The sequence below is a fragment of the Homo sapiens genome, chromosome 6 (genome assembly GCF_000001405.40).
Source record: "Homo sapiens chromosome 6, GRCh38.p14 Primary Assembly".
NCBI lineage: Eukaryota > Metazoa > Chordata > Mammalia > Primates > Hominidae > Homo > Homo sapiens.
The window spans coordinates 35,141,980-35,151,827 of record NC_000006.12 but is presented as its reverse complement, the minus strand read 5'-3'; the positions used below and the strand labels follow the sequence as shown (position 1 = coordinate 35,151,827).

Genomic DNA, 9,848 nt, shown 5'->3' with positions numbered 1-9,848 from the left:
CTCAATAAAGTTGATTTTAAAAGAAAATATTTCTCTGTGGAATGTGGATGTCTGAAATTCAGAAAAGGAAACAAAATATTTGGTAAAAAGCATAGACAAACTATGGAATGGAATGTAAGGGAGTTGTGAAGTCTGCCAGTGCTTCATAACTTTCATTCTGCAATTTTGAATGTTTAGAGAGGTGCATTCCCAGCAAACAAGGCTTTGCATAGTCTCGCCCCTAAGTCCAAAGTGGGATGCAGATGGAGCTCTATATGCTAAAGGCCCCTGGAATCATAACCGTGTGTTTCCTAAAGTTTATTCATCAAAACAGCCAACATTAAACATTAATCAACTAGTACAAAAATTGTATGTTCTTAAAAAAAAAAAAAAAAAAGCCGGGCTCGGTGGCTCATGCCTGTAATCCCAGCACTTTGGGAGGCAGAGGCGGGCGGATCACGAGGTCAGGAGATCGAGACCACTCTGGCTAACACGGTGAAATCCTGTCTCTACTAAAAATACAAAATTAGCCGGGCATGGTGGCGGGTGCCTGTAGTCCCAGCTACTCGGGAGGCTGAAGCAGGAGAATGGCGTGAACCCGGGAGGCGGAGCTTGTAGTGAGCGGAGATTGCGCCACTGCACTCCAGCCTGGGCGACAGAGCAAGACTCCGTCTCAAAAATAAAAATAAAAAATAAAAAATAAATGCTGAATACAAAATCTTGTATCTTTCTTACCAACTCTCCATTTCTATCATCAACTGACGCTGAAGTTTTATTTAGCTGGATCCTTCTGGGTGTCCTGTTCTCCGACTTGAACCGGGCGTGGCATCAGAGCCCCTCTGGGATGCTTGACTTACAGTAACCAAAGATCCTCATTATGGCACTAGAGAGTGTTTGCCCTAGTTAGAATAACTACTTTCTAACACGCAGCTCCTGTTTCTTTTCTTACTATACACTAGAAAAGAGAGATGTGGATTAGATTATTTTAAGGTGTTTTCCAGCTATCCCCACCGCCCCGCCCCGCCACGCTCTGAGCTTATATTAGGTTCATTCATGACTTCACTCGTTCATCATTCAGCTACATGATAAGGTATCTCTCCGTGCCCAGCTATGTATAAGGGCTAGGGGTGCAGCAGTGGAGACGGACAGGGTGCGTGCCCTCATGGTGCCCACATTTCAGCGCGGGTGGGGAGCGGCAAGCATCCCAAAACAAACCAGCTTCAACAAGAATGTACTGGTTGGATGCTGGGGAATCTCGGGCAGGAGGGTGGGCTTCAGGGGCTCCCTGCCTCTCCACGCTTAGTGAAGCTGGTAGTCAGGCGGCCTCCCACTCCAGCAGGACAAAGTCTGGAGCAGGAAGGACCCTCACTTTCCAAAAAACTCCTGATGAAGTACAAAGAGGAGGGACTTTGCCGGAAGCCGCTACAGCTGACCTCTCCTTGTGCCTCGTTGGCCTGACTTGGTCACGTGCTTTTATTTGAACCAATCACTGTAAGGGAGACAGAACCTGTGGACCAATCAAGCTTCTCCATGGAACTGGGTGTGGTGGGAATCAGCTGGGCGTGCCTCGGGGGGACCAAAAATTAGTTACTGCTTATTCTAGTTGTCTTAAATTAACTCGAAGGTGCACGTAATAAACTTAAACAGTAGTTCAAGACAGCTGATAACGCTTTAACAGCTTCCAGACGTACTGACTTCAAATATTGGCGTTAACTGCAAACCAGGGAGTATCTTAACACGAAACAAATCAGGAATGTCAAGAGGTTTCACTCCATGTCTGTTATGAGAGGCGGTCAGGAAAGGCTGCTTTCGGGAGGCAAATCTTGAGCTGTCTCTGGAAGCACACAGCTTGGCTTTGAGTTCCCAGCCCTGAGATTTCCCAGCTGGTTAAGTCCCTTAAGTTCTGGAAGCTTCAGTTTCCTCTCCTGTTAAATGGGCACTATAGTAGCTTTTATGTAGGATTTGTAAGATAACTAAATGAGATACTATACGTGAAGTCCTTTTAGTACAGTGCCTAGCATATAATGAGTGCTCAATATATTTTGGGTATCATTATTATTTAACTTGTGCAGAGTCATCCCAACTGCCAACATCACTAGATAGAAGTGGATAGTTCTCTGTTTCTGACCCACCCCTTCATCTTCTCAGAATCTGATTTTAGGTCGCAGTTGATCAAGTATAGGAGTACTTTGTTACAGGTATTTGTCAAGATTCTGTTCACTAGTATTTCTTTTCTCCCATGCTTCTCCAGCACTGTAGCTTCAGAAGGTGATAGAAAAGTCAGGTTAAGGGTTCTGAAGTCAGACTCCCTGGGTTCAAGACCCTGGCTTACCACTTACTCACTCTATGGCCTTGGGGGGATATTTAAGTTTTCCTCATCTGTAAAGTGGCGTAAAAACAACATATTTGTCATAGGGTTGTTGTGTGTATGGTAGGAACATGTCTACGTGAAGGGCTCCCCAAGGTCCTAGCATTATGGTAAGCACTTGATAGATGTCTCTTGTATTATTACCATTTCATTTATCAACCATGACTCCTGACTCTATTCCTGTTGTCAGTCCCAATCCCTCTTCTTAACTCCAGGTGCTTATTTCCAGATGCCTGCTGAACAATTCCTCATAAAGATCCAGCCAAAACTTAATTCTCAATCTATCCTAAAATACACCTTAAAAACACCCATCCACTCTCCTCATTCCCCAAATCTCCTCCTCCTCCTTACAACCATTCTTTCCATTAAGGTCAGCACCTATGGGAAACAAAAGGTTTTGTTCCCTGTTTTAAGAGTTCCAGACATTAGAAAGCCTTGCTCCCCCACCCCCTCACTCCCAAATTCTCAGAGTTTCAGGGCACTTCCACTCAACATAAGGGAAATGAGGCCAGAGCTGTGACGTGACTTGCCCAGGGTCACTAGCAAGTGGGAAGCAGAAGAAATCCATGCCTCCTGCCTTCAAGGTGACTATCCTTCCACCATCCCATGGTTTGCAGTTTCTCTGAGCCATTGAATCACCCTGCCATGGTTGTCCTAAGGGCCCCCTCAGCAGGCTCACAGTCCTGGAAGTTGGGGAGGGGCGACTGGGGGTGCCCAAGTAGTTCTTGAAACAACCAAAAATCAGATTTTTCATAAGCTGAATCTCTTGTTTATCCTGAGTTGTGTGAGGGTGGGGGAGACGGGGGAGGTTAGCTCCTTTGAGAGTTTCCAAGCATTATGAGCAAAGTCAAACCCAAACTGAAGGATATGAGTCATTCTGAGTGTGCCTCTGTTGGCCACAAATGGGTACAAGAGATGTAAATTCTGCAGAGGTTGTGAGTGGCTTAGCCAGTGTTTTTCAATGAGAAATTCCACAGCATGGAATTTGAGGGTGCCCAAGGGAGCTCTCTATGCCTCTTACTGCAATCCCATCTCTGTTAGCCCTGACAGATCTCAGGTGAGTAACTCTGCAACTGATTGGTGCTACACAGGGGGCCACATAGGCTTCAGACACCAAAACAGCCATCTAGCTCGTCGCGTTCCACTTCCTCAGACTATTGAAGTCACAAAATTCCTGCCATTCCTGAGCTTGTAACAGAGACTCAGACCCAGTGACCTCCTTTTGTTCCCGCTGGGGACTGTAGCCCCTCTGCAAGTTTAAACCGTTCAAATGAGCTCTGGCTTCATCTTAGAGACGCTGTCGGTGAAGGAAAGGGGAGTGGAGAGGCGGCACTGGGAAGGACTTACAAGGTGAAAAAGGATGGCCACGACTTTCCCCATTCCCCCGCCACACCGCTGTGGAAAGAAAAAAAGTCCCAGAGAAAAACTGGAGTATAAAACTGTTCTCTCTTTATGGAGACAGAAAATAAAATAGAGGTTACCAGGGTCTGGAGGGAGCAAGGGACAGGGAATTATTGTTTAATGATTACAGAGTTTTTGTTGGGGGTGATGAAAAAATTTTGGGTATAGATAGTGGTGATGATTACATACCATTGTGAATTTATTTTATTTAATGCCACTGAATTGTACACACTTACAAATGGTTAAAATGATAAATATTATGCCATGTACTTGGCCACACACACAAAAAAACTACAATAATGTCCTAAACACCCTCCCCCCACGTTTCTTTTGAGATGGACTTCAAATAGGCTGGCCCTCGAATCTGTGCGGCTGGGTTCTTTGTCAGGAGATCATTATGCTTTGCTTTAAGCTGGTGGTTCTAAAGAATTATGGATGACACAAATGACTGAAACTGATTTATTTCTCAAGTGTTTGAGGTTCCTTCATCCCTACCCAATAATGTCTAGTCAGGAAAAGCTTGTCTTAACCAAAGTCAGAAAAATAAAAGAAAATGCACAAGCCATCATCTAAAGTAGACCCTGGTTTAAGAAAATCTCAGATTTGGAAAACAAATTGGAGACTGATGATTTGCCTTATGAAAGATCGCTTCCCTTAACAAAAGAGTTTACTCAAAAGTTCTTTAAGAAGAGAGCCCCCGGTGCATTTAATGATGTTATTGGATTAAAAAAATCATCTGGACCATTGAAGGGCACTGCACTGTAAATATATGAATACATTGTATTGTGTTGTTAAGAGTGGGAATAAAAGAGTCAGGATTCTTTGACAAATGGAGCATTTTGGCCTGAAGTAACACAAAGAGAGAGCAAGATGAGTTTTCTTGGCCTAAAATCCTGGCGGCTTTCTGGAAAGGCTTTGGGAGTTTATGTGATTTATTTAAGACCATCTAAGCCCAAGGCCTGTGATACATCCATTTTGAGAAAAGGCCTGTGCCAAATTTAGGGTCAAAGTTCTAACGCTGCTCATGCTAACCCCCATCACCTGCCCATTTAATCATAAAGGTTCTCAGACGTGAGCTCAACTCTGTCCTGCAATGGCAGAAAAATATATCTGTTGCCAGAAAGTGGATTCTCCAGTGATGAAGAATGATCCTTATTTATGTCTGCATAGGTACATTCTGGGGCCCATAAAGGTTTAATTGTCCCTCTAACTAGTTTTTTAAAAAACCCACAAAGAGGCTGCCAGCTTTCCCCAGAGTTTAAAACCAACTGAATGCGGTTCTGTGGAAACTGCTTTAAGTGTGCAACTCGCGCCGTGTCCTGGGGCACAAGGCGTGATTGTTTTGGGGACTCAAAAGATGCAGCTCTTAGGAGGACTTTTAAAGTCAGTTTTTGTGGCTTTCGGCTGCTGCTGACCCTGGGTTGCTCTGCAGAGAGAGAGAGAGAAACTCCTTCATCTAGGAGCCAGGTTCTAAGTTACTCCCATGGTGCCACTGCCCCCTGCTGCCACCTTCTGATTGGGGGTGGGAGGCACTCCAGTGTCACAGGGCCTCAAAAGTCCTTTTCTCTCAGACATTGTCTTTGCTGGTTTAAAAGGCTCTCTCAGGAAGCTAAGGACAGAGGAGACACAGAAAGAGAAAAAACATGGCTATATGCTTATGAGACAAAAAGAGAAAGACAGACCCTGGTAACCGAGACTGGATCCAGAGAGAGATACTTTGCTTGACATCTTGGGTGTGTGAGGGGAGCAGTGGCCCATTCTCTGTCACTCCCCTTACAATGCAGTCTCCCCTGTTCATTCATTCCATAATTATTGATTGGACACCTATTATGTCCCAGGCACAACAGTGAATAAAATGCACACAGTCCCTGCTCCCAGAAAGCTTAGTCTCATGGGAGAGTCACATTTCAATAAAGGTTAAGTATGCCAACAAACATATGATTACAAAATGTGATGAGTGCTATGGAGAAAACATGCAGGGTGTTGAGAGAAGCTAATGGAGGGCCATGGAAGGTCCTCTGAGGAAGTTAGGCCTTGTAAGCTAGTTCTGAAGGATGAGAGTCAGGGAGGCGAAAGGGGCTTTTAGAGCAGGGAGAAACATGCTAGGTGGAAGGAACAGCATATGCAAAGACCCTGAGGTCGGAAGAGCAGAGCCTGTGAGGTGTTGCTAATGGAGTGAGATGTGGCTAGAAAAGGAGGCAGTAAACATTGCTCCCAGAATCTTCTTTGTCTTCCGCTTTGAGCCTCCTCCCTTAGAGATTTGTAATGGTTTTCCCATCCATCACACTTCACATTCAGCTTCAAAGGACCACCTCCAGACTGCCCCCAGATTCCCTCAACCCTTCTCCTACTCTTGGGTTCTGTGGAGAAAACACATTTGTCAAAAGACTAAAGCAAATAGTTTTGACGTGCGGTTCTGTATCATAAGGGAGGCTATAATGAAGTCAGTCCGAGTTTACATGACTCCAAATGGTTCCATTTAAATGTCCCACCCTGTATTTATGTGTCCCTACCACTTTAGTTGACTGTTTATCTTCCAGTATACTCGACTGTACTTGCATCTTGGCCTTTATTTAACTTCATCCCTTACTTTCTCCATTCCATGCCCTATCATTTACATTTTTCTTTAGGAAATGTAAATGTTTATTTACAGTATTAGCTTTTACTCTTGCATACCTCTATACATTACAGAGTAAACAGACGGTGATATGGGTTCTAGTCCTGAATTTTCCATAAACTGGTGGTGACCTTAGCCAAGTCATTTAACCTCACTGAGCCTAAAATGTTTCTTTGTAAAGTGAGGGGTTTTTCATTTTTGTTTTGTTTTAGTTAGCAGATTTGTATCCAGGATTCCTCTTAAATTCTGTGATTCTCTACCTCTTACAGCCACCTCCAAGTATGTCGCTTGTATCTTTGTCTTTATACACCCCTCTTTCAGAATGTCTTTGTGGATAGGACTGACTTTCTACATAATGTGCTTTTGTGGGGTAGTGTACACAGAATAGTATTTAATAATGAGAATAGACCACACTACTGGGCTTGAGTTAAAGCTCTCATATGTGAGAACATGGTTGAAGAATAGGAAAATTCTAGTTGCAGGCCTGAAATTACCATGAACTGCTTCTCAAACTGGGTTGTAGGCACCCATGGGGATATACAGAGGTGTACCAACAAGTACAGGAAGCCCTTCCTCCTGGAACAAGAATTCTATTCAAAGATTTGAGGGAGGGGCCAGGCGCAGTGGCTCACGCCTGTAATTCCAGCACTTTGGGAAGCCAAGGTGGGCAGACTGCTTGAGCTCAGGAGTTTGAGACCAGCCTAGGCAACATGATGAAACCCCGTCTCAACAAAAAATACAAAAATTAACAGGGTGTGGTGGCACACACTTGTAGTCCCAGCTACTTGGAGGAATGAGGCAGGAGGATTGCTTGAACCCAGGAGGTCGAGGCTGCAGTGAGCCAATATTGTACCACTGCACTCCAGCCTGGGGGACAAAGTGAGTCTCTATCTCAAAAAAAAAAAAAAATTGAGGAAGGGAAATAGACTTTAGTATTAAAACAAATGGATGTATTATGAATAGAAAAGTCATACAACATCTTGGTAGAAAAAGGGAACCCTGGGCTGGACAACTTTGGTCATATTTCAGTGTAAGAGGAAACAGGGCTTCTCTTCTGTTCTTGGGTTGCTTGGAAATACTTGCATTATGGGTCATTTGAGGTATGTGCACTTTAATAGGGCAAAGGTGTGAAGTTATCCAGGAGGGGCATTCCTGCTAAATAATGGGCATACGTAGAAACTTCAGTTTTACCCATTAGAAGAGTTTAAAGAGGGTCCTGAGGTTGAGGGAGAGCCAGGCCTAACATAAACCAAAGACCAAATGAGTTAGAGAATTTTTTTTCTTTCTTTTTTTTTTTTTTTTACAGGGTCTTGCTGTGTTGCCGAGGCTGGTCTCAAACTCCTGGCCTCAAACTCTTGGCGTCAAGTGATCCCCACCCGCCTTCGCTTCCAAGAGTGTTTTGTTTTTTTAGACAGAGTCTCGCTCAGCTGCCCAGGCTGGAGTGCAGTGGCACGATCTCAGCTCACTGAAACCTCTGCCTCCTGGGTTTAAGCGATTCTTCTGCCTCAGCCTCCTGAGTAGCTTGGATTACAGGTGCCCACCACCATGCCCAGCTAATTCTTGTATTTTAATAGAGACGGGGTTTCACCATGCTGGCCAGGCTGGTCTTGAACTCCTGACCTCAGGTGATCTGCCTGCCTCGGCCTCCCAAAGTGCTAGGATTACAGGCGTGAGCCACCGAGCCCAGCCGAGTTAGAGAATCTTACTGAGGACCCTGGCTAAAGGCTGGGCTTGAACTGACCCAAACACTAGCAAGATCTTTCACCCTTTCTCAGTCCTCAGGTAGCACTTCTTGTTCATAGCCCCGGCCCCAGTACTTACCATGCCATTATATGTTATATTTTATTGTGTACATAATAGATACCAGAGTCAAGGAGGTCATGTGAATTAAGAAAAAGTATCTGATCAAGAGTCAAGATCTTGCTTACTGTGTGACTTTTGGTTACTCTCTGAAACCTCTTTGATCCCCAGCTTGTTCACCTTTCAGACAGTCCAGTATAACACCTGCCTTGCCTACTGAATGAGATTGTGTGCAGAGCATATAGATCTGCGATGTAAAAGCATTCTGTAAATCATTACAGAGAAATCAGTTATTAACTAAGACCCCAAAGGGAAGAAGTGCATATCTCTTACTTGATCTTTCTACTCCCCTCAACCTCTAACTTTTGCTTGGTTGGTTCTGATGACTATTAATGATAAAGATCATGAAATGCTGTACCTGGGCTGACCCTGGGAAAACTAATTTTGTCTTTCTCTGCTACCTCCTTTTCCTCCTGTTCTGGCTTCGGTCCCCTCCCCACTCTCCACCCTCCCCCACCCCCCTCTCACACTACCATGTGCTCCTGGACTGCTATTTCTTCCCACTGACCCTCCCAGACAATTCGAATATTAAGAGAATATTTAAACAGACAATTTAACATATATGAAAGAATTGTTAGAGGAATTTCAGACATCAGTAGGGAGTTTTACAGCAATGCAATTTTTGTGGGGGAAACGAACTGGTGTTATTCTGGAAACTTTCCCAGAAGTAAAAATGCCAAATGGAATTCCTGATTTGCATTTTTAAAGAGAAATCAATAACCCAGCCTAAATATCTCCCTATGTAATAAGGAAGCATCATATTTCATTGAACTCTTTGCTGAAGTCATCATGCAACTTCCTCCCACTTCTGGTGGTTTTAGGGTGAAGGCTGGCCTGCTTCACAGTTGGCATCCCTGAGGGAAATAGCAGGAGAGGGCGAGGAGGAGGAAGGGGTAGGTTTGGTATGGATGAGTCTGAGATGCTCTGGATAAACAGTAACTTGGCTAGGCCACTCCCCTGGTATATGCCTGGGCCTCAAGGTGGAATGGACTTTTTTTAAGCACAAATGCTTTTGGGTGTCTTTATAATTTCCCCCTCCAAACCCAAGAGTTGTGCAAGAAACATCCACACTCCACACTAACAAGGCAAAGGTTGTTTTTGTTTTTTTTTTTTTGAGACGGAGTTTTGCTCTTGTTGCCCAGTCCGGAGTGCAATGGCGTGATCTCGGCTCACCGCAACCTCTGCCTCCCAGGTTTAAGCGGTTCTCCTGCTGCAGCCTCCTGAGTAGCTGGGATTACAGGCATGAGCCACCACGCCCAGCTAATTTTGTATTTTTAGTAGAGACGGGGTTTCTCCATGTTGGTCAGGCTGGTCTCAAACTCCTGACCTCAGGTGATCCACCCGCCTCGGCTTCCCAAAGCCCTGGGATGACAGGCTCGAGCCACCGCGCCTGGCCTTGTTTTGTTTTTTTGAGACAGAGTCTCGCTCTGTTGCCCAGGCTGGAGTGCAGTGGCGCAATCTCAGCTCACTGCAACCACGGCCTCCCGGATTCAAGCAATTCTCTGCCTCAGCCTCCCGAATAGCTGGGAATGCAGGCGCCCGCCACCACGCCCGGCTAATTTTTGTATTTTTAGTAGAGTCGGGGTTTCACCATGTTGGCCAGGCTGGACTCGAACTCCTGAC

General features: G+C 44.9%; 2 annotated features.

The window, feature by feature from the left end:
• Positions 2,577–3,370: an enhancer, noted in NCBI's record as "OCT4-NANOG-H3K27ac hESC enhancer chr6:35116235-35117028 (GRCh37/hg19 assembly coordinates)". NCBI's record gives its function as "activates a minimal SCP1, AML or CMV promoter by ChIP-STARR-seq in primed H9 embryonic stem cells {active_cell/tissue: H9 hESC(primed)}" and the evidence as "EXISTENCE:reporter gene assay evidence [ECO:0000049][PMID:30033119]".
• Positions 3,371–4,164: an enhancer, noted in NCBI's record as "OCT4-NANOG-H3K27ac hESC enhancer chr6:35115441-35116234 (GRCh37/hg19 assembly coordinates)". NCBI's record gives its function as "activates a minimal SCP1, AML or CMV promoter by ChIP-STARR-seq in naive and primed H9 embryonic stem cells {active_cell/tissue: H9 hESC(naive and primed)}" and the evidence as "EXISTENCE:reporter gene assay evidence [ECO:0000049][PMID:30033119]".